This window comes from Homo sapiens, chromosome 3 (assembly GCF_000001405.40).
Source record: "Homo sapiens chromosome 3, GRCh38.p14 Primary Assembly".
In the NCBI taxonomy this organism is placed as follows: domain Eukaryota; kingdom Metazoa; phylum Chordata; class Mammalia; order Primates; family Hominidae; genus Homo; species Homo sapiens.
In genome coordinates, this window is record NC_000003.12 from 64,003,778 (window position 1) to 64,027,743 (window position 23,966).

At 39.3% G+C, this 23,966-nt stretch overlaps 1 protein-coding gene and 3 long non-coding RNA genes across 10 annotated transcripts, besides 5 other annotated features; 3 read left to right on the forward strand and 1 right to left on the reverse strand.

The window, feature by feature from the left end:
- Positions 245 to 8,466, forward strand: PSMD6-AS2 (PSMD6 antisense RNA 2). Its single transcript, NR_038286.1, has 3 exons — positions 245 to 2,291; positions 5,920 to 5,976; positions 8,020 to 8,466. It is a non-coding gene; the product is annotated as a PSMD6 antisense RNA 2 (long non-coding RNA).
- On the reverse strand, positions 6,774 to 20,230 carry PSMD6 (proteasome 26S subunit, non-ATPase 6). 7 transcript variants are annotated; one of them, NM_001271779.2, is made up of 9 exons: positions 19,498 to 19,717; positions 18,866 to 19,024; positions 18,541 to 18,746; positions 15,519 to 15,664; positions 15,041 to 15,260; positions 14,822 to 14,930; positions 9,662 to 9,830; positions 7,101 to 7,178; positions 6,774 to 6,987 (listed from the first exon to the last, which is right to left on the reverse strand). In NM_001271779.2, the coding sequence occupies exons 1-9, from the start codon at positions 19,640 to 19,642 to the stop codon at positions 6,891 to 6,893; spliced, it is 1,329 nt and encodes a 442-aa protein (NP_001258708.1). In that variant the 5' UTR covers positions 19,643 to 19,717; the 3' UTR covers positions 6,774 to 6,890. The 7 variants fall into 7 exon arrangements, with proteins under 7 accessions (NP_001258708.1, XP_016863058.1, NP_001258709.1 ...); XM_017007569.1 differs by lacking the exon at positions 19,498 to 19,717 and adding an exon at positions 19,274 to 19,348; NM_001271780.2 differs by lacking the exons at positions 18,866 to 19,024; positions 19,498 to 19,717 and adding an exon at positions 20,028 to 20,230.
- PSMD6-AS1 (PSMD6 antisense RNA 1) lies at positions 8,187 to 12,485 on the forward strand. Its single transcript, NR_189168.1, has 2 exons — positions 8,187 to 8,265; positions 12,108 to 12,485. It is a non-coding gene; the product is annotated as a PSMD6 antisense RNA 1 (long non-coding RNA).
- Positions 19,019 to 19,641: an enhancer, noted in NCBI's record as "H3K27ac-H3K4me1 hESC enhancer chr3:64008472-64009094 (GRCh37/hg19 assembly coordinates)". NCBI's record gives its function as "activates a minimal SCP1, AML or CMV promoter by ChIP-STARR-seq in naive H9 embryonic stem cells {active_cell/tissue: H9 hESC(naive)}" and the evidence as "EXISTENCE:reporter gene assay evidence [ECO:0000049][PMID:30033119]".
- Positions 19,019 to 19,675: a biological region, named in NCBI's record as "H3K27ac-H3K4me1 hESC enhancer GRCh37_chr3:64008472-64009094".
- Positions 19,326 to 19,675: an enhancer, noted in NCBI's record as "active region_20036". NCBI's record gives its function as "activates an Ori minimal core promoter by ATAC-STARR-seq in GM12878 lymphoblastoid cells {active_cell/tissue: GM12878}" and the evidence as "EXISTENCE:reporter gene assay evidence [ECO:0000049][PMID:35858748]".
- Positions 19,642 to 20,263: an enhancer, noted in NCBI's record as "H3K27ac-H3K4me1 hESC enhancer chr3:64009095-64009716 (GRCh37/hg19 assembly coordinates)". NCBI's record gives its function as "activates a minimal SCP1, AML or CMV promoter by ChIP-STARR-seq in naive H9 embryonic stem cells {active_cell/tissue: H9 hESC(naive)}" and the evidence as "EXISTENCE:reporter gene assay evidence [ECO:0000049][PMID:30033119]".
- Positions 19,826 to 19,925: a silencer, noted in NCBI's record as "silent region_14502". NCBI's record gives its function as "represses an Ori minimal core promoter by ATAC-STARR-seq in GM12878 lymphoblastoid cells {active_cell/tissue: GM12878}" and the evidence as "EXISTENCE:reporter gene assay evidence [ECO:0000049][PMID:35858748]".
- On the forward strand, positions 20,298 to 22,583 carry LOC105377121 (uncharacterized). The gene is made up of 3 exons (XR_940906.3): positions 20,298 to 20,374; positions 20,848 to 20,965; positions 22,435 to 22,583. It is a non-coding gene; the product is annotated as an uncharacterized LOC105377121 (long non-coding RNA).
- The last annotated feature ends 1,383 nt before the right edge of the window (positions 22,584 to 23,966 follow it).

Here is a 23,966-nt window from a genome sequence, read left to right on the forward strand (position 1 = left end):
GTATTCTGGCCTTGCATGTTTGTGAAAGAAACGAGGGAGTTGATGGATTGAGAAACACATTCTATTTGTACTTAGGTGCAAATTTGATGACATGTAGTTTTGGTTTAAGATAAGCTTTTTATCCAGACCCGGTCTAATCTCTTCCTTTCTTTTACATACCTCCCTTACTGGCAATACAAGTGCATTTTAGTATTATTTGGAACACAGCATAATCATTTACCTCTAGAAATCCAGACATTTTTACTGTTTGCAAATAAACCATTCTGATAAATTATTTTTGTTGCTTAAAATAAGAGGAGGAACCGCTGTGTGTTAGCAAGAATGTCCATACCTGATATGAAAGAGTCATGTTGGCTTCAGTTCCTACTGCCCTGTGGACTTCCCATTCCCTCCTTACTTGAGTCAACCATCCACTCAGTACTTTCCACAAATCTAATAATGAGGTGCTCTCTGTAGGTAAATCCTTTCACTATGGCTTGTCCTCAAACCTCCCAAGAAAAGGTTCAACTGCTCAATCTCTTAACCTTTTTAATTCCATTCCCTTGCAGGTATCCCGGCCCTGCATAACAAGATGATCCCAACTCAAGGAAAGGGGTTTAGCAGTGTTGGATCTTGGCGTATGTGGGATTTAACCAGGCAGAAAGGCAGACAAGAGTAAGATTCTAGGCAGAGAGAGCAAATGCGTCGAGCATGGGTATGAACATGTGAGGGATAGAGAATAATTCTGCAGGAAGTTTGCTGGATGGAAGGGCCTTATAGGGTTAGAAAAGCTGGTGTCAGATTGTCAAGGACTTTGAATGTCATGGGGCTTCTCTTCCAGGAACACATGGGATCAGGCTTAGATTAACCCAAATGTAATTGTCAGAGCCCAGAGATATTTCATGGTCCAGTCCTAGCACTGTGCAGCTGCCAAAAGTCAAAGCCATTCAAATCTGTACTGAAAACTGTGGAAAAGCAAAGGAGCACTTAAGTCTCTTTCCCCATGTCTTGCATTCTCACTCTCTTTTGCTTCAAAGATCTGTCTTTACCTGCCCCTGTCCCCAGTCCTAACAAAAAGCACTCCCCTAAATCAACTCTTAAGTTCCTCTCCCTTCTCACTCCTTTCTTAGTCTCCTCTTTCTGTAAGAAGTTCTTGCTCCTGTTGTTAATGGAAGTTAATTAAAGTAGTATTTCACCTTGTAAGGCTGTAATTCTTGGCACTTGTTATCCTCATTTTCTACATCCAAAGACCATGGACCAGAATATCTCTTAGGAGGTAAGGGAGAGTGAGGCTATCAGCCAAAGAAAAAGTCTCCAGGGGGAAGGGGAGAATCACTTATAATTTAATACTTTGTGGAAAAAACATCTCTGCCACCTATGGCCCTCCAATAACAATGGAAGACAGAATCAACAGGTGAGAACCTTGGGACAAAAATAAGTTACAAAGCTGTTGTAATCCAGGTAAGAGCTATTAAGTTTCCAAACGAAGGCTGACTGTGAGGATAAGTGATACTGATTTCAGAAATCTTTAAAAAGTAGAACCAACAAGCCTTGAGGTCTAACTCTGTTCAACATTAAAGGGAAGAGTGAGTCTAAGAAGACTTCAGGTTTCTAGCTTGGCCAAACCAATTGAGCTTTAAGTGAAATGTGCGATATGGTAACAGAGAAGGAAAAAGACATAACGATAGATTTGAGCTGCTGGTGGGAAATTCTGGTTTAGTGCCCAGCTGGCTGTACAGGCTGGTTGGACTTTAGGAGGGAGGTTTGAGCTGGAAAATAAAGATGGAGAGTTGTCTTTCAGTTTTAGATCATCAGTGAGGTCATAAGGGTAGATGGAGTTTACCTGGGAAAATTAAGTAGCTATTCGATTTGGCTTATTATTATGTTAAAATAATACTTCTCTAGTGAAGTACTTAATATGCCAGATACTGTGCCAAGCATTTTATATACATCCTCTCTTTTACTAAGCCCTCATAGGGCAGGTATTTTGATTCCAATCATACTGATTGGAACTCCTAAGAAGGTATCTTGCTTAAGGTCCCACAACGAATAGGTGGCAGATCCAGGGTAATTCAGGTCTGTCAGAACAGTGATTCTTAATTTTTTCCCTCCTCAGACTCCAGGAGTCACATGAAGTTATGCATCCTGTCTGACCGAGGCACAGGCACACCACATTTTTATATTCCGCTTCCAGGATATCACAAACCTGAAGCCCATCCTCCATGGCCCAGAGAGAAAACCCAGGACAAAACCTTGGAGAAGACTATTTTCATGAAGACAAATGGAGAAGGAGCAGTAGAGTAAAAAGAGAGGTAAGGGAAGGCATTGAGATGGTTTACAGGGTTAGATGTTTTGAGTCAATCCCATTATAATTACCAATGCTATCTACCTATTTAGTTAACGTTTTATTGCCCTGCTGTTTTCTCCAGGATAATTGGAACAGCATGTATTGGTTGGGTGGAAAAGATAGAACTTGAGCAGGGAGATTGCCAAAGAGTGAAGATGTGGCTGAGTGATTGATGATGGTCTGAACTGGGTATTCAGGGAAGAGAACTAGAAGCCAACCATGTAGAATCTATGCAGGTGCTCTTAAGACATTGGTTTGACTGGAATTATCTTCTTGTTAGGTCTTAGGAATCTCCTTCCAGGTAACTTTTTCTATGATTAGACAATTGATTTGTTCAGGGTCACAGAGCAAAGTCCACATTTAATTCCACATGGCCAATAAAAGTGAGGGGCTACAAGGTGAGATCCAGGGGCCAGAGTTATCAAAGTGATACAGCACTTTTAGGAATAGGACAGGGAATGGAGGAATTGGAATTCCAGTATTACTTTCAAAAGCAGAACTGGCCAGAGGAATTGGAATTCCAGTATTATTTTCAAAAGCAGAACTGGCCAGAGGTGCTTGTGATTCCTGGGTGGAAACCATGGCAGTGGACAGAAGCAGCATGGAGGAAAAGAGCACTGGAATTCAGGCTGAGGAACTGTGAAGCCAAGGGTGTTGTATAGGTTGTCCATTTCAAATTAGGGTTGCTTGGTTCTGGGATGATTTGCATGGAAGAGGGGAGAGTGACTTGGAGATGTGTGATTGAGGACAGTGAGCACAGTGAGTTGATGGTGTTGCTGGGTTATAAGCAGCTTCAAAGAGAAGGCATTTTGAATGAAGGTGGAAACATAATGGCCAGGAGAACAAGCAAAGGACTAGGAAACAGTGAACTTCATCTTGGCCTCAAGTTCCTGAGGTGCATATGAATAAACAGTCTCTAACCCAGAGGGTTTCAAGAAAAGCAGAGTCCTCAAAATCCAAAGGTAGAGTTTCCCCACATTGATATTATACTAATTACACGTATAACAGTACTTTGGAAAAGCACAGGTCTCTGGTCACCTCTAAAAGGCAAGGTTGGTAAGGAGGTCAGGGTGTCACCTGTTGGTAGTCTTAACTAAATGGTCTCTTCAAGGGATCTAAGGATGGAAAGGGGATATATAATGGTTGGATTAAAGGCTCATCATTGATTAGCAAATTGTCCCTTTTGTTTCTTAAACCCAATTTGTACAGGGAAAGTTATGCCACTGTAAGATATTTTTAAATGGGGAAAAAAAAAAAAAAAAAAAAAAGGTTATACCCTTTGACCATGTATGTCAAGGTTAAAATGGCCTGGATCAGATTGCTACAAATTCCTGATAGCCTTTGTATTCCTTCAGAAACACAAGCATAATGCAAATCTGTGGCTCTACAGCTTTGAAACCAAAACTAGTGATTATCAGAGCTTTTCATGTTATCCAGATGGGGATTTTACCCCACTCCCCCATTGCCATTGTGGAGGCACAGGTTTGTTACCAGCAACTACAAGTTTATGTAGCATTGGGAAGGTCAGGGATTATCATAGTTCCCTCCACGCTTTTTCCCCCATAATCATGGGGGCAGATATTTCAGCTGTCAGCTGTTCATCTTAAAAACATTAGGTTAACAGCAGCACCAAGGACTAATTCAGAATATGAAATTACAGAAATGATTTGCTAATGATTTAGTAGCCTTTTATCAGTTAATGTTTGGTCAGGTTATAAAAGACCAAATGTGTTCAGTCACAAAATCCTAAGTGTATTGAGTATTGCATGCTTAGTGATCAAGTTGTAGGCATCCTTCTAGCCATCTGGGGCAGGTAAAAGTTGGGTGCTTAACAAAAGTGGTTTTTACACTGTTTCTGTCCTAAGAGACACTGTTTTTTAATAGCTTAAAAATTGACCTAAAGCTGTTATTTCTAATACAGGAAATAGATTACCATAATTTGACATAGCTTTAAAATATTTAGCTCTTACTCGATAGATTTGCTATAAAATCAACTTTTACTGAGGTAAGAGAAACTGGCATTTCTGCTTTAAAAATAATCACAAAAGATAGTTTATCCTGGCGATATCATTTCACACTAGGATAGTTACTTTTGACTGAAACCAGGGTTAAAAATAAGATTGTTTCCCACTTCAAAAGAAAACATTTACCAACATGAAAAAGGAACTATGTATAACTGTTTTAGCATCATTTCATAATCTTATTTTCATATTGTGAAGTAACCTTCTTGAATAAAAGCAGAAAATTAAGACTTTCAGAAAACAAGCTGTACCAGTTAAAGCTACTAGAGACAGGATAAAGGTTAGGAATTCTTTGGATAGTTTCTCCTAGCTCAAGCTTGTCCAACCCAGAGCCCACAACAGCTTTGAATGTGGCCCAACACACATTTGTAAGTTTTCTTAAAACATTATGAGCTGTTTTGTTTTGAGCTCATCAGCTATCCTTAGCGTATTTTGTGTCACCCAAGACAATTCTTCCAGTGTGGCCCAGGGAAGCCAAAAGATGGGACACCCCTGTCTTAGTTGATTAACACAGGAGGCTGTTAACCATCAACCTCACATGCACAATATTGGGGGTAGTGCAGGGATAACAAGCTCAAATGCCAGCAGGGGCCAGGCAGACAGGCAGTGTATATGAACAGACTGGGTGGACTGGGGCACACTGGAAAACACGCTATGCTTGTCGCTCAGCTTATTGGAGCGTGAGTCCAGATTTAGCTTCACCTGTCCTTTTTCCAGAGAAGCTAGATATGTGGTTTTTAAACTGTCAACTTTTACGTGGTAACTATAAATTTTTTTCTTGGAAAAGTATTTAGGGTGTGTCAATTGCCGCCTGTGGGTGAACAACTGCAACTCTGTAGCATTCAGAAGCCACCTTTGCATTCCTGACTAGCTTTGGTTTTCTGTAGAAAACCAAAAAGCTGAGGTTTTTTTCCTTTAAGAAATGTTTTCTAGATAAGCATTTTTAGAAATTCATAGGTGGATATTCTCAAATACATTAGGCATAGTCAGCATTTTAAAAGCCTCCCCTCCACAATACAGTGCCTACAGGAAACTCCTTTCAAAACAGAGATCTAGCCACATTGCTTTCCTTGGCATACAACCAATGGCTCTTCTTCCAGCGATGAGAGCTGCTGTCTTCACTTTTAAGATAATGCTTCTAATATTTTGCCATTAATTACCTTGTGATAGGGCTTTGATATCCCAACCTATTATTCATAGTCTACTGAAGAGTTTTTTTATCATGAAGAAATGTTGAATTATATCAAATTATTTTCAATCAAATGAGATCATGTTAACAGGAGTATGTTATTCCTGTTAGGAATTCCATATTAGGAATATGTTATTCCTAATATGTTAACAGGAATCATTCCCATCAGTAAATGTTATTTAAAGCAAAAAAACTCAAAACTCTTCTTTCCTTCCCTTGCCTTTTACAGTAAAATGCCATTTCCCATTCTCTTCTGAACTCACCTCTACCAAAACTGCTCATTAAGGTCACTAGCTGTCTTTCACTTAAGCCAAAAAGCCTAGGATCTCCTCTGACAAATTTTCTCCCCCTCATCCTCCTCACCCCATTCTTCAATCTTTTAGCAAATCCAGCTGCCTGTACAATCCATGCCACCGAATGCCGTAAGTGAGACGTAAAAGGTAAGCCAAATCCGCACTTAAAATTGCCAGTGACTTTCCTCGTCTTTCTTCCCTCCATACGTTCATGGGCTCTCCCTCCTTTTCACTTAAATGTCACCTTACCATAGAAGCCTTCCACAACACCTCAGAAGACGGCCTATACCCTGTATCTCTATCTATCTATCTATCTATCTGTCTGTCTATCTGGTTTTATACTTCTTATAGCACTTATTCCTATCTGACACACTGAATAAAACTGATAAAACTAATAAACTGTTTCAAACAAACAGAGGAACAACTTTGTTTTCCTCACTGCTATTATTACTATGGTCCTACTTTTGGAAAAAAGATTCAGTTTGCTAATAAATACTTACATATAAGGTTTTAGAAAACTGAGATCAGCCTTGGTAGATTCTGTAATCCAGGTTATGTCAGCTTCCTAAAAAAGAGTAACTTCCTGCCTTATATGGTTACTTGTTTCTGAGGGAAAGCTTATTACACATTTTCTTTATCTTCTATCTTTTGTATACTAAAAGTGGGAGACACTGTTTGTTTAATTTTAGGCCACTACTCTTCTTTCTAAAATCGGGAAGCTTACAGGTAAGAGATTTAAAGGTAAGCGATAATGGGCTGTGTCAACATCCGTATTTTACTGACGTATTTTACTGATGAGGCAGTCAGGAGCTGAACCTAGCTGAACCCAGCTGCAACCTTACCCTATAAACCAGATTTTCATTAATGAATAATTCAAGTGACATTATTTTAACATAAGTGGACCCGATTCTAGAAGGCCTATGTGTTTAAGAAAAAAATAAATGGAAAGAAACAACAATGCAGTATTTATTTTATACAGCTGACCTGGGCACATTGTGAAGTAAGCTATAAAAATTCCAAATAATTATCTCTAAAGCAAATCCTTTGTTAGTTACATGGCTTTACATATTAATTACTCTGGAAAGTTTTTGAACTCTGTTTAGTAGCAGATCTCCTTTCTTGATAGTTTCTTGGTACTGCCAGTTCTTGCTATCAGGTCTATAAATAAATTCAAGAAAAAATGAATTATTTACCAGTCACATTATTCCATGACAATAGTTGACCTACTTTTAAAATTTAGGAATGCCCCTTATTCTGAGAAATGAGAGTACCTGTTGGTTTCTACTATTTCATTCACTTTATCTATTTTGCAGTGTAGTCTCCCGGCAGCAATAAACCTGGACAGTTCCCTAATTTAGAGACAAAAAATAACAGAATTAGCTTTATAGAAAATTCTTAGAAAAATGCAAACGGCATTAAAATACTGTCTTAAATTTGTAACAAACATTTAGCTTCCCTTCAAGCTTGTTATTGCACATGCAGTAGTTGACGTTGTCCCTCCTATACTGCAGGCTTTAAGTCATCATCTACTAGAATAAACATGATCCTAGAAGTTCATATTCAGATAGATAGAAAGTAGATCAAACAATGAAACCATATGTACTCAGAGAAAAACTGTAGGTTAGGAAAAATTAGGGACCAAAACTGATAAAAACAGTAAACTGTTTCAAACAAAAGACCTAAAACAAAATTATGGAACACAGCCCATCAGTAAACATGTCAACAGCAATAGTATTAACATGTCAACAGCAATAGTATTTACTAAAACAACGACCCTTTCCCTCTCTAACATATCTTAGTCTAAACAAGTGGAAGGGAAGGGGAGAAATGATGTAGAATTATTGCTTTGCCCATTTTAAAAAAGGGGATTTCATCTAAAATGTAACTTTTTAAGGGAGAAAAAAAGAATAAAGAATCCATGACAACCCAGATTTGAAATTCTTAGGTATCACAGAAATTTAAAACAAGGCCTTTTTAGGTAACAACAACTAGAGCTCAGTGGTACAACCTTTGCCTCTCAAGCTGGTCTTAGAACATGAAGGGAAAAAAAAAAAACTGAACAAATACTACCTGAATTCAACTACTACCTGAAAGGTACCAGCTGCCTTGCATTCACTTGTCATCAAGATGACTTAAGGAATACTGCGGTGTGTGCCCCTAACTAATGAAGGCTTTATCTCCACATTACAGTTACGATACTGAAGAGACGTAACCTGACCAAGGCCACAGAGCTGGAAAAAGAAGCAAAGCCAAGCCGTTTTTCTCATGCACTGCTCACAACAAGCCCCTCCTTCCACTGACTCATGAAAAACACACTCATAATGCCCAGCCCGCACCCTAATGAACAGCCCTCTTAAGAGTGGTCATCAGACTTCAATTTCACAGACTAGAATTGAGAAATGGAACAAAACCTTGGGATACCAGCCTTCCATTTTGGTAGGGATCATTTAAAAAATGGTAGGGATCATTTAAAAAATGTGTTGGTGTCTGAAACTTACTTTGAAGTGGTTAAAAAACATAAAATGTATAGATTGTAACAAGCAAATATGTTAAAATGTACTGTACAATTCTTTCTTTACAATTTTATGGATGTTCGAAATTTAAAAAATACTAGAAAGAGAATGGTCTTATTTAAAAGAAATGCATCTTCATTTAAAGTTTCCACTGCAGACCATTGAAAACACCATCATCAACATTTAAAAACACCTACATGTGGGAGCCACTGATCTAGATGCCATCTGGACATCCCATATTGAGTATGTCTCCTACCCAACTCTACTCTCACCACCCTCGTCCACGCCACGGTAACATCTCCTCTAAGAGCTACTAAACAGCACAACTGGTCCTCTCTGCCACCTTACTCTATTTCTTATATAAAGACACTGCATAGGACCATGTAACTTGGGCTCTAAATCTTCCAATGGCTCCCTATCAAACTTACTTAAAACTCAAGCTCCATCCCATGACCTACAAGGCCCTACACAAATCATTACCTACCTAACTCTCCATATATTATCCTCAAAATCTCCTACCACTCCAACTATGCTGGAGCCACCCTGACATTTTCTGTTCCTACAACATCCAAGCTTATTCCTGGCTCAAAGCCTTAGCCTTTTCTATTCCCTTTTCTGCACGCAGAAGGACTCCATATGGCTGACTCCTCTCAATTCAAATCTCAGAGCAAACCTCACCTCCTTAAGCATGCCGTACGTAAGGATAGCATTTTCTCATCTCCATAGGTTCATTTCTATATGTGAAATTACGTTTTATATTTATTTGCTTCCTTGCCATCTCTTCCCTACTACTACAATGAAAGTGTGAAAAGGGAGCTGTAAAACAATACCAAACATATAGTAATGAATGGCTCATTAAGTATTTATTTGTTTAATCACTGATGCAAGTACTAAAAGTCCCACATTTAACAACCAATCTGACCAGAATTGCAGCAGCAACCTAAAAACTGGAAGGAATTATCAGAGGGAATATGACCAACTGTAAATATCAGATCTAAGAGTCATTACCGTAGCTGCAGTGTGGTCTACAAAGAAGTAACAGAAGACAACTTTTGATAACAACTGGTCTAATGACCTTTAACAAATCACTTAGCCTCACTACAACTCATCTTCCCATCTGTTAATGCAAGGGGCAGACATGACATGAGGAAGGCAGAGGCAACAGGATACGAATGTTTTGATAATACTGAGGAAAAAAACCTCTCCCCTCCCCGTTAAGATTGAGGGAACCAATGTAAACAAGTAAAAAATTGTACAAGTTCACATATTTTAAAAGGCAACTTTAAAACTTCAATTAACATGGCATTATTCAAACTTACTGATCAATGAATTCCACACCAACACCAAACGCTTCTGCCATATAGCCAAGGGTTAATGACCTATATGATTCCAGCAGCTGACTGTATGCATGAATTCTCATTTCTCTTACATAGTATCGATAATGAGGGGCAAAAAGCCAGTCCTTTTTCATTTCCTGTTCCACAACCGCTGCAATGAATAAAATGACAAATTATAATAGACTCTCCGTTTCAGATAAAAAGATTAAAAACTAAAGCAACACTACTAGTTGAGTCCAACAGATAGATGAACAAGTATCAAATTTCTCACTGCCCTTCCACATCATGTCATCAACAATGGCAGCAACAGCAGTGATAAAGGAGGGGCCAGGTATGCAAACATCGTCTTCAAGTAACAGGTGGCTATTTGACATCACTATCAGAGCTCAGCTTCTAAAGGAACTTGTTCATAGATGACAAAGTTCACGTACTAATATTTTAACCACGGAGAACTTCTTATGCCTTAAGTAAAATAAAGTAAAAATCATTTTTTAAACAATTCTAACAGAGAAACAGCAGGTACAGTGAAAAACGATTTATACAGACCAGAAAAAAGGTATAAATCAGACATTTTCAAAAAGCAACAAAACTCAGAAGAAAGCAAAGACTGATGACTCCTATTGCCTGTTTATTTGTTCACGTAAATAGTCTACGTAAGAAAACACTATGAACAAGGTTTGAAGACAAATGATAAACTAGAAAATTTATAACGATGAGTTAATGGCCTTAATCCAGAAGAGATCCTTAGAAGACAGTAAAATGTACGTAGAGTATTAATGAGCAATCCACACAAATATAAATTATTTTACTGAATAACTCCTGTATATCACTACTCTAGATAGTTATATGGCAGTGAACCAGAAGACAAGACCCTTGCTGCCACAAAAACTAAATTTTCAAAGGGCAGAGACAGATGAACAAATATACAAGATAAATCCTGTGAAGAAAATAAAAGTAACATGATAGAGTGACTAGGAAGCCCTCCACTGGATTGGGGTGGACAGGGAATACCTCTCTCAGGGGCTGGCTAAGCACAGAGCAATGTAAATGATACAAAAGTCTGAAGGCAGGAAAAGCATGGTTAAGCCCAGGAACAGAAAGGATGCCAGACTCAGAATGCAAGCAGGAAGACAGCAACAGGTATATAGAAGGTGAGCAAGAAAAGAGACTCTAGAGTATACTTATGTTTGTGGTTTCAACAAGATGGAAATCCCTGGAGAAGGAGAATATTTGTTTTTAGTGTTGGGGGTGAGGGTGGGATTCAAGCATACTTTGGCAGTGTTCAAGTGGATATGCCTATTAAACAGCCAAGTGAGGACACTAAGGAGGCATTGAGGCATGAGTCTGGTGCTCCAGTTTGGGGCTGGCGACATGAATTTGTCCATCACTGCCATCCAAATGTATCTGATGGCACAAAGTGAAGATAAGAAACAAGGGCAATAACCCAGTCTAAGGCAGTCAGACACTGAGAGGTCTAACAGTGGATGAGGAGGTAGGTCCAGAGAAAACAAGAGCACGTTACTGCAGAACCAAGAGAAAGCTGTGGTGAGAAGCAAAGGATGGTCAACATCAAGGCAGATAAAGATAAGCAAGGGAACACATGATTTAGCAACATGGAGATCAATGGCCACTAACCATGAGATGGTGCGTATTCTCACTAATAAGAGAAATGCATAAAACATCAATAAAATTATTTCTGTCCTCTCAGACTGGCAAAGAGTATGGAGAGGGTGGGACAGGTTCTCTCAAATGCTATAGATTGAGAGAAGTATAAATTGTGTAAATGTAAACTGACATATCTCTGGAGGGCAACAGTGGTCAAGACACAATATATTTAACCTTTGGAAAGTTCAATTTTTTAGACTTTTTCCCCAAGGAAATAACAAGTGGGAAAGATAAATTGTTGGAGTGTTCAAAACAGGGTTGCTTATAATAGGGCAAAACTGGAAACGACCTCGTTTTCTATCAGTAGAGGATAAATTATGGCATAGCCAATACATTGAAATACTAGGAAGTCCTTAAGAAAGGATAACCTGAAGCTCCTAGGAACACTACCTGTTCAATTTGCTGCTATTCTCAATGTTAGTACACGATAGCCACTCAAAAACACTTACTGACTAAATGACCAACTATATGTATAGTGACATGAAAAGATATACACGTTACTTGTGAAGAGAAAAAAAGGTACTTACAAAACAGCATATAAAATACATCCACAATACACAAAAGTGTTACATGCTCTTATCTCTGGATAACAGTGCCCCTGAAGGACACACTGGAAAACCTGATTAACAGCAGTTGCCTCTAGAGAAAGGACACTGGTGATCAGATATTAAAGAAAGCCTTTTTCTTCTTTATATGATACTGTTTACAACTGTTCCATGTGTACATATAACTTCGGTTTTTAAATGTTTTTTCTTTTTTAAAGTGCATATAATAAACGAGTAAAAGGCCGGGCGCGGTGGCTCACGTCTATAATCCTGCACTTTGAGAGGCTGAGGCGGGCGGATCGTGAGGTCAGGAGATCAAGACGATCCTGGCTAACACAGTGAAACCCTGTCTCTACTAAAAATACAAAAAATTAGCCGGGCATGGTGGCGGGCGCCTGTAATCCCAGCTGCTCAGGAGGCTGAGGCAGGAGAACGGCATGAACCCGGGAGGCGGAGCTTGCAATGAGCCAAGGTCATGTCACTGCACTCCAGCCTGGGCGACAGAGTGAGACTCTGTCTCAAATAAATAAATAAATAAATAAATAAAAGGTCTACAAGGATATAAAACAATATTAAAATCACCGTCTCAGGAAAAATTTTATATGTGAGTGAATGTGTGTATGGATTTGGGGGTGAGGTGAGATACAAAACCTTTCACTTTCTCAATTTATTTTTGATTTCTAAATATAGTCAGGTACTACCTAGAAAAGGATACTACTTCCTTTTCCAATTGAATTATTTTAGAGCACATTAGTACCAAGTGCTGTCCTGCTGTCAGGGTCATGAAGATTAAAAAAAAAAAAGCATAAGTTCTGCTCCCAGAAATTCTAGTTAGCAAAGGAGGCAAACTAGGAAATTATCACAAAACAGAGTGCTAAGTTTTAGCAATTGGGGCACATGGCCAGTTAAGTATATGAAAAGATGCTCAATGAAACTAGTCATTAGAAACAAATCAAAATTACAATGAGATATCATTTCACACCCACAAAGATACCTATAATCAAAAAGACAGAAAATAGTAAGTACTGGATGTGGGAACACTGGAACCCTCACACAGCTGATGGGAATGTCAAATGGTGCGGGCGCCTGCTTTAGAAAACTGGCAGTTCCTCAAAAAGTTTATCAGAGGGTTGCCATTAAGATGCAGCCATTCCACTCCATATGTCCACAGAAAAAGCTGTACACAAATCTTCATTATAGCATTATTGATAGTAGCCAAAAAGTGCAATCAACACAAAAATCTATGAACTAATGAATGGATAAATAAAATGTAGTATATACATACAACAGACTATCATTTGGCTATAAAACAAAATGAAATACTGATACATGCTACAACATGGATGAATGTGGGAACATTATAAAGTGAAAGAAGCCAGGCACAAAAAGCCACGTATTTTATGACTGCATTTAGATGATATGTCCAGAATAGGCAAATTCGTACAGACATAAAGTAGATCAGTGGTTGCCAGGGGCTGGGGGAAAGGAGTAATAGGGAGTGACTGCTAATGGGTGTCGGTTTCCTTTTGGGGTGATCAAGATGTTCTGGAATTATTAATATTTGCAAAACCTTGCCAATATATGAAAAAGCACTGAATTGTACACTTGAGGTAATTTTATGGTGTGTGATTTATACCTCAGTTTTTTTAAAGGAGGGGGCATACAATAACCCCAGGAATGCAGAGAAGTAAGAGATTTGTTCTGACTGAGGGAAGCAAGGAAGGGCTCCCTCAATTTTTTTGAAGGAGGGAGCATACAATAAGAATCCCAGGAATGCAGAGAAGTAAGATTTGTTCTGACTGAGGGAAGCAGGGAAGGGCTCCATATTTGAGTTGAGTGATGACCAGGAGACCTCAAGCATAAAAAAGGGAAAAGAGCAATTCTACAATATAACCTTATATGCAAAAGCAACATAACTGTGTGTGTATGTATGAGAAGATAAGGCCAAGTGAGTTACTCATCATGCTCGGGAAACCTGTTCCTACATTACCTGAGGTAAATACTATGAATTCTCATAAAGCAGCCCAATTTATATGCATGGAGAAAGCATCCAAAAACACTGGGCCAAAACCCACTGCAAAAACATTAACAATCGTCATTTGGAACCGTCCATTCCCACTTTTCTCCAAAGCTATCTATTTAACCAAACACCTTCTGAAATTTGCAGCATAAACAAAATATATCAATGTCAAATTTTAAGTTTTGGGAAAGACCCCTGGGTCAACTTGATGCAAGCTGATTCTTCTATCATCTTAATAGTTTGTGGTCATTATTAGGAAACCAAATAGCCAGGAAAGAATGGGGACAAGAGGGAGAAACAAGCAAATGTGTGAAGGCAGGATCACTACAAACTAGCTTTGAAGGAATACAATTACGTTCAAGAGATTATTTTCTTAACCCATAGCCCTTGAAAATGATTTGCAAATCAGCACAGAGATTTAGCTATTTAGCTATTGATACAGAATAGCCCATTGCTGAATTCAAGGTTCAATTAATCTCCACCCCAAATCACATTCAGAATTCCCTCACTTCTGTCCCCATGAAGCTCAATACTTAATAACCATTTGCTCACTTTTGCCTTATACCCCATTAAGACTCTTAACCAGGGGTCTGGCAAATACCCTCAGCAAAGGGCCAGAGGGTAAGTATTTTTAGGCTTTGCAAGCTACATAGCTCTCCGTCACATCCTCCTTTTTTAAACAACACTTTAAAAATGTAAAAATCATTCTTACCTCCTGGGCCATACAGCAGGCCACAATCTGATGACCCTTCTTCTAAACAAAACTGGGCACATTAGGAATACTGATCAAAGACATGCAGCTACCTACACACTACATTTCTCAGATAGGTGAAAAATCGTCTTAGGTTATTTGCACATAGGATCAGGAGTAAGATGAAGACAGATAATCAAAAATATCAACCCTATCCTTACCTAATGATTGGAAGAAAACAGAGTAACGGCATTCATAGAGTGAAAACAGATACTGCCGAACTGCTGGAAGACTGTGCAACACTTCAAGAATCTCTGCTCCTTTAATGACCTAGGTATTTTAAAAAACATATATACAAAAAAAATGTACATTTTAATGATTTGTGTATTTAAACAAAAAAAACAAGTCTTTAAATTTGAGTATTAAAGTTTGGTCATTACCTTTTCCCTGAGATCTGGTCTTTCTAAGGCAATCATACTGACATAGACAGTATAAGTCACAAATGTTTTATAATCCATGAGTTCATAGGATGTAAATGTTGAAACAGTGTCAAGGAAGAGTTCAGCTGCCTGTTTGAAATCACGAATAGCCACACAATAAAGACCCTGATACACTTTTAGGCGGTTTCTCCTGTCCCAGTCTCCTCCTTCTTCTATTAAGCTATGAAATAAAAACAGTAAGATCATAGTCTGGAAACAGACAAGGCCACGTTTTAAAAACTTGTCTGTTATTTGAAATGAGAAAACAACTTTTAACAACTTGAACCGAAAGGAGATATTTAAATTATTTTACTAAATAAGTACATCAATTATTTGACCAAACTTACTAGCTGTAAACAAAACAGGCAGTTTCTTATATCAGCTTCTCATTTGTAGCATCATAATTTAGAGAAAATATAATCCCACCCTTAGAAAGTACCTTTTGGCCTTTTCTGTGTTTCGTGTGATGAGATCATTATCCATATAAAATAAGCCAATCCTAAGGAGATAGAATACAATATCCAATCGGTGACCCAGGGCCACAGTTTTGTCATATGTCTTGCGAAAGGCTGTCAGAGCTCCCTCCTGTCAAGAAAGCCAAGGCAATAGGTGAGAAAAGGCTACAAGTTTCCAAAAAAAGCTATCAGCTGTCTGGGATTTTCTTCAAAGGTTGAGGGAAGAGGTAGGAGTAGAAGTACAACAAGATGGCCATTAACTGTTAATTGTTGAAGCTGGGTGATAAGTACACAAGGGTTTATTATTCTACTTTCTCTACCTGTATAAAGTTTAAAAAATACATAAGAAATGCCCAAGCATATACTTAGATTCAGGAAAACAATTTAAGAAAAATATATTCACAATTGTTAAGTATTTTTCTCTGTTCTATATATTCAATGTTTTCTCTCATAATCACAATACACTACATCAAAATAACATCATCTGAAGGGTTTTGGAAATTGTATCTTAGTCGCTATTAGAATATGACTAAATTTGTAAATATATAATTTTCTCTCAAAGCACTGTGGAATGTTTCCTTTGCTTTGAATATGAATAAAATAATTTGTTCACACTTGGTAGTTTTCAGTATGTGTCTGCCTGGTTTATGTAATTATTAGTTATATTTCACAAATTTATAAGGGACTGGGAATACAGCAATGGATACACCTAGCACTAAGATCTTGGTTTTTAAATACTATCCCCCACTAAAAGGAACCAGGGATCCTAGGAGAAATAGATAATTCTACGTTTATTAGAGTGAAAATAACAGGTGAACCTGTGACATTTTGTTTTATCAGAAAATAAGACTAATGAGATATGTCAAAAGGACAAAGTGTCTTGACGGAGCCTCTGCTAACAAATTTGCAACAAACTTAGCACCATAAAGAATAAGACTCTCATCAGTGGTAACAGTGAATAATAAAAGCCCACTAAGTCCATTAAGTATTTAGTAATACTAAATAAAATAAAATATAAAAAACGAGAGTAAATAGGAGGGGAAAAGTTGTTCGTTTTGGAAGAGTATTTAATAAATACAGAGGAAATATAATATTAGAACATTTTACAACTTCCTGATACTGATTCAAGCATGTCCTTGTTGAAATTCTTCAAAACCTGAATCAAAAGTTTCAAGTTTCTCATTCATATGTAATATATTAGTCTTTAAAACCAAGCCACAAACATACAGCTTAAAAGTAAATGGAAACCACTAGATAATTCTAAACTTTTCTGTATTTTCCAAATTTTTACAATGACCACGTCTTAAGTTTACAACCAGAAAAGAGAAAAAAACCTCGTTTTAGATATACATTGCAAAACAACATTTAGGCACTTACTATGTGCTAGGTACCAGTCTAAGCTTTTTCCTATCCTTAATCCACATTAAGTAAAAACTATCAGTACTCCTGTTTTACACATGAGGAAACCGAGGGTTTCATAAATCATAATTACCGAGGTTGAAAACAGAACCCAGACAATCTGATTCAAGAGCTCATGTTATTTTTATTTTTTATATTGGCACCATGTCATTCTATACCTAAATACTTCCAGGCAAATAATTTAAAATTAAAAACATTCAAAGCCCATTTTCTTAACCACTATTACACAGTTACTCAATTAAATTTCAAAGATCCAGTAATGGTGAGTACCCCTCTGGTGCCCTGATGGTGGAGTAAGCTGGCTGCTATGCAGAACAACTGGCCACACATATTTAAAAAAAAGAAGAAAAAAAAAAACTGTTCATTGTCCCGGCGATTTTGTTTCATATACTATACCCTAGAGAAACACTAGCATATACACACAGAGACATACATAAGCATATTTTTACAGCAGCAGTTTGCTAAAGCAAAAACAGATGAAAACAACACATATGTCCAACAACAGCTGAACAGGCAAATAAACTATGCCAGAGCTAGCTCTACAGTGGAACATTAGGCAGCAGTTAACCAGGATGAGCCAGATTTATGTATGTTGGCATGGAAAAGACCTCTTAAATATAATGCTGAATGAAAAGGGCAAACAGGACTACACTAATACACTATGATCCTATGTACTTAAAAAAAAAATTCTGTAGAATTAAAAATTTCTGCAAGTATTAACTTTTTTAAAAATTGGTTCTTTCATTGAGCATTTATATTCTTTTACATATAAAATTTTACGTAAAAAAGATTTTATGACCGGGTGCACTGGCTCACGCCTATAATCCCAGCACTTTCGGAGGCCGAGACAGGTGGATCACCTGAGGTCAGGAGTTCGAGACTAGCCTGGCCAACATGTTGAAATCCAGTCTCTACTAATAATACAAAAAAATTAGCTGGGTGTGGTGGCGCACGCCTGTAATCTCAACTACTCGGGAGGCTGAGGGAGGAGAATCGATTGAACCCAGCAGGTGGAGGTTGCAGTGAGCCAAGATCACTCCATTGTACTCCAGCCTGGGTGGCAAGAGTGAAACTCCGTCTCAAAAAAAAAAAAAAAATTACCAAAAAGTTTGCATAAATGCACAATAAAAGAACTGAAAAGCCTATCCCTGGGCAGGTACAGAGTAAAGAAAGATAACAGAACTTCAGCATTTACTATACTGTTTCTTAGTTTCTGCTAAGTATTACTCGTGTAAAGTACTAAAGACACCAGAACCAGTGCTTCCCAACCAAGTGAGAAAACTGCTGAAAATGATCCCAATTTTGTAAAAGCAGTAAATAAAATTCTCTAGATGTACACTTACGTTTTTATCGGCATGGGGTGAAATGGGGAAGAATACAGCCCTAGCTGCTGTTTGGGGAAATGACAAGGCATTTCATGGAGACGACTTTTTCATCTTTACATTGATTCACCAGTACAAGCAAGCATGATTACCTTTATACTTTTTCTAAAACGAAGTTAATTTTTTTAATGAGAAACGATTACCTGGAATAGTCTCCAATTTTAGCCTATACTAACTACAGAGAGGGAAAACCATCTCTACTCACTTTGTCACCTATCCGGCAGAGGTACTCGGCCTTTGCCATCATTGCATCGCGAATTTCGCTCTCTCCTAGATTCTTCTCTGCATCTTCCAGCTCCTCATCCAAACGCTTCAACTCATCTTCATTTGCCTTCTTCATTTTATTGAGTAGGTCCACGTCTATCTGCCAGTCGAGGGATTTGCACAAGGCTTCATAGTAAGGAGCCATGTCTAACATGCAAAAAGAGGGATGTGTGAGTGGGGACACTTGTGCCCTCAAGTCAAAGTCTGCCCACGTATTTCACCCCCCGCCCCGCCACAAGTCATCCACCAGTCTCTTCCCCACTAACAGGAAGGCATGCGATGGCGCTTAATAATCGGCTTGGCAAAACATAAACGTATGCTGGTGGGAGGTTTGCGTGACGGCCAATCCTGGCAATGCCAACCTCTACTAGGGCTGGAGGGAGGGCAATCCTCGGTTTGCTCTTGCCGGATTCTGTTCCAAAAGTCTTCAAACAGGGAAAGACTTTTTATACACACATACTCACATACATATGTTCAAACATACACATTCACTACAGAAGGGCCAGAAAGAACCGAACCCAAATTTCCCTTCCACAGGCAAGCTGAACTCTCCCACAGGAATACCCCGCGCCCGGGAGCAGTCCCCACTGACAGAAAGTCACGGGGCCTTTACTCTGTGCCTAGCACAGGGGTAAATATTAATGCCTCACGATTCTCCCCCAAGCTGCCCTTACAGGGGAAGGCGGCACAGAGAGATGCAGACCCCGCTGAGGCAAGTCGAGGTCCCCCAGGGTATCCCCAAACCAAAGCAAAACCCTAAGGGCCGGAGAAGCCAGGCCTGGTCTCTGAGACCCCGTCAGAGGGGTCTGGAGCTCCATCAAAAAAAGTCCCCGCAGGCTCCGGAACGCGGGGACGGCCCAGGCCTAGGCCGCTGACTCGGCGCTCGTGCGGGCCTCACTGTTATCGCGGACGGCCGCCATCAGCTCGTCGCGCACGGCAGCGTCTCCGCGGTGCTCGGGCAGGCTGAGCAGGAAGCGCAGCTGCGCGATACGCAAGTCGGGGTTCTTGGGCAGACCCTCCTCCTCCAGGTTCTCCAGCGGCATCGCGGCGAAGGGGACAGCGGCTGACAGGACACAACTTGGTTACGACCGGCTGCGGCAGCGGAAGCGGGAGGAGTCGGCGAATACGCCCGGCCGCCTGCGGCCCGGCTTCCGGTCCCGTCTCCGCCGGCAGCGTCCTCTGCTGGACACCTCCGGGAACGCCTCACCCGGCCTGGGCGCCTGCGCCCCTGTGTGGTCACGGGGGCTTTTCCACCCTCAAGGCCCCCTGCGGAGTCCCAGAGTGGGTGCAGCCCAACTCAAAAGCCCAATTTCTTGAATCTCTTTCTCACTCCCTTTTTAGCTATTTTACTTTCCGTTTGTAACTGATGGGAGCTTAAAATTTTTTGAAAACTGAAAATGTAATAACAGCATTAATAAAAACAATCACCATAGTTTGTCGAGTCGTTACTCTCATTCATCTTATTAAAATCATCTTCATGCTGCGAGGTAGTACTATTAGCCTATTTAGTAGGTAAGACAAATGAGGCACAAAGAGGTTAGGGAAACAGACCAACCAAGGTCATGTAACAGCCATGTCGCAAGGCCTAAATGAAAACCCCTATCTAGAACTCTAAAATCCACATTCTTTCTGCGGTTTTAAGAAGAAAAAAAAACTGCACCCAGGATTCTACGTCATAGTACAACAGCATCATCGTTTTGTTTACACATAAATTAAATCATTACATGCCTGCATTTTCAGCTTCCTTTTGTTCACATTGCTACAGATCTTCAGAGGTGGTAATCTTTACATTAAATTCCTTTTTTTTTTGAAACGGAGTCTTGCCCTGTCACCCAGGCTGGAGTGCAGTGGCACAATCTTGGCTCACTGCAACCTCTGCCTCCCAGCTTCAATCGATTCTCCTGCCTCAGCCTCCCAAGTAGCTGGGATTACAGGCCTGCACCACCATGCCGGGCTAATTTTTGTATTTTTAGTAGAGACGGGGTTTCACCATGTTGGCCAGGCTGGTCTTGACCTTCTGACCTCAAGTGATTCCCCCGCCTCAGTCGTCCAAAGTGCTGGGATTACAGGTGTGGGCCACCATGCCTGGCCTAAATTCCATCTAATGGATTTACCATAATTTACTTTCACTCTTCCCTCTGTTAGAGGTGTCTTTAGGTTGACCAGAGTTTTTACTTACCTAATATAAAAACTTGGATGAAGACTTTGGATGTCTAGATCACTTCATGTTTTGCATCTTTTTCCTTAGCATAAAATCCCATGAAGGAATAACGGACAAAGGGAAGAAGGATTTTGTGACTTGGGGATATTTAATGTTAAATGGTTTTCCAAAAGAGCTGAACCAGTTTACACAGCTGCTGAAACAGGTGAGACTGCCACATCTCACAGGCAGTAGGCATCATCACATAATTTAAATCTATTATTTGTTTCTATAAAAATGAAACAAGCATTTTGAAGACAACTCAAATGATAGAGAAAATATGAAGAGTAAAAAAAAAATACTATTAAATAGCTCTCCACCACTGCTAAACTTTTGGTAAAAAACTTTCTAAAATTCTTTCATTTAGTCATTCAACAAACATGATTGCATGGTTACAAAGTACCAGGCACTGTCTTAGGCCTCAAGGACTCAGCAGTGAAGAGCACAAAGCCCTGTCTTTGGAACTTACATTCCAGAGAAGCATAGCTTCTTTAAAACTCATCTGGGTATATTAACATGATCATTCTATACTCGCACATTTTAAACTGTGTTTTATTCATTCTACCATGTATTGTGGATATCTTGGATGACAATGGATTGACCATATAGGATTCCATTATATTTATTTCTGTTTGTTTGTTATTTTTGAGACGGATCTCACTCTGTTTGAGACGGATCTCAGGCTGGAGTACAGTGGGGTGATCTTGGCTCACTGCAACCTCCATCTCCCGGGTTCAAGCGATTCTCCTGCCTTGGCCTCCTGAGTAGCTAGGATTACAGGCACGTGCCACCAAGCCTGGCTAATTTTTGTATTTTTAGTAGAGACGGGGTTTCACCATATTGGCCAGGCTGGTCTCGAATTCCTGACCTCAGGAGATCCGCCCACCTCAGCCTCCCAAAATGCTGGGATTACAGGTGTGAGCCACCACACCCGGCCCATTATATTTCTATACCAACTTTTTCTTCATCAGTCCTTAAGTGCTGGTTGATTTGGGTTATTTTTGTTTTTTTCAATCTTATTAATATTACAGTGTCACTTATCCGTGTACATATATATTTTCACACTTAAATAGTTATTTCTCAATCTAAATCTCTAGACGTGCAATTGCTGAATAAGAGGGCATTAATATTTTATATTTTGATGTATTCTGTAAGTATTTTATGAATTATTTTCCACAAATGATATATATATCAATTTACATTGCCACTAATATTGAACAGAGAACCTGCAGGGGAGAAAAAGTAGTATCCTTTCTTCACCCATTGCGAGGTTCATAGCTGAGGCACCTATAATAAAAGATAGAATAGCAGGGCCAGGAGAGGTGGCTCACACCTGTAATCCCAGCATTTTAAGAGGCTGAGGCAGGCAGATCACGAGGTCAGGAATTTGAGACCAGCCTGGCCAGCATGGTGAAACCTCATTAGCAGGGCATGGTGGCGCACACCTGTAGTCCCAGTTACTCGGGAGGCTGAGGCAGGAGAATTGCTTGAACCCAGCAGGCGGAGGTTGCAGTGAGCTGAGATTGTGCCACTGCACTCCAACCTGGGTGACAGAGTGACACTTTGTCTCAAAAAAAATAAAATAAATAAAATAACAGAAGAAAAGCATACAAATATATTTAATATAAATTTTAGGTGACATGAGAGCCTTTGGAAATGAAGACCCAAAGAAATGAAGAAATCTGTATATTTGTAAGGTAAATTTGATGAAGAATGGACAGTTATGTAGAAGTATGATTGGTCAAAGGGGGTGTGATGTGATGGTAATAAACTGGGGGGACTTACCAAGGTCTGTGTGTTCAGATTCTTCTCTGTGTCCCTGTATCTTCATATATAAGGGATTTCTTTTCTTTGAGCATAGGGATAATATGTTTGGAATGAGGGTCTTATGACCTACCTTATAGGAAGTTCAGGGAATTCTTTTATAACTGGCTTCAAGCGAGAAGGGCACAGAGAAGATGAGAGTGACCTTCCTGCTTCTACCACTTCCTCAAAGCACAAGGTGTGATATTTTGAGATTGCGTGTCCTGAACCCCATCAGACCTGTCTCCCAATGTACTTTCATCAGCTATTTTAAGTTTTGCTAACAGTTGCTTTTCCTTTGCATTCCTTTTATGATTGGTGAGGTTAATCTTTTTTTCACATTTTACTGACCACATATATTTTCTGTTTTATGAAATTCTTGTTTGGCTTTGTCAATTCTCTATGGAATCTTTCCTCACTGACTAGTAAGCAATCTTCATATTTTAAGGATATTAACTTTGTTAATTTCCAAGTATCACAGTTTCCCCCCTCATTTATTTTTCTAAATTTTTAGGGGTTTTTCTTCAACATAAAAGCTTACAATGTTTACATAGTTAAATGTATCAGCCTGTTTACATTTGTGACAAGAATTGGATGTATGATCCAAAACTCATGTTGAAGTATAGGGGGAAACCTGTATAAATAGTCTTGTAGTTTAAATTGTATGTGACTGGTTCATTCTGGTTTCCAGTTCGTCCTAGTATAGACGCATAATCAAATTAAGGTTGCAATTGCCAGAAAATCTCAATTGCAGGGGATTCTATGACTCTTCATTATTCCAGGTGCAAATGAGCTTCAAGGTGCACAATGCCCTGCTGTCAGCCTCTCCACTCAGCACAGAGGAGACCAATTTCCAGTCAGATCTGTCTTCTTCTCTTTTTACTATCATAACCATTAATTGCTGAGGAATCAATCGAGCCCTGAACTGTGGCTGTGATTTGACTGCCCAGCTGATCAAAGCAGCTCTTTGCCCCATATTGACAACTCATTATTGAACAGTAAATTGTCCATTCCATCAATCTCTTTGTAGCCATTAACTCAATTTGACTGGATTAACTAGTTTTACAAAGCCCCTTCTTTAAGCTTGAAACCTGAGGTTTTTGTAATCTCAGGGAGGAAAAATAAATGTGTATCTTCTTGGTAGATATATATCCTGCCCCATGGAAATTAAAATGTTTGATGGAAACAGGCTATGGTGAGCTAAGGGCATACATACCTTTTCTTATTTGCTCTGGTTCTAGGGTTTATTTTAGAAAGCACTCTTTCTTCCTTTTTTTATCTGTGTTGCAAGCCCTTTGCTATTAGAACCTGGTTTTATTTCGAGATCGCACCAAGCAGGGCCCTCCTCCTTTTCAGCCTTTGTA

What these genes read in the sequence shown, in the direction of transcription:
- PSMD6 (NM_001271779.2), bottom strand. Translation starts at nt 19,642, where the DNA reads ATGCCGCTGGAGAACCTGGAGGAGGAGGGTCTGCCCAAGAACCCCGAC. An exon ending in GGCGGCCGTCCGCGATAACA is followed by an intron (nt 19,025 to 19,497) that starts GTGAGGCCCGCA and finishes CCCTGTTTGAAG; the next exon opens with ACTTTTGGAACAGAATCCGG. An exon ending in TCTGCCGGATAGGTGACAAA is followed by an intron (nt 15,665 to 18,540) that starts GTGAGTAGAGAT and finishes CTTTCTTGACAG; the next exon opens with GAGGGAGCTCTGACAGCCTT.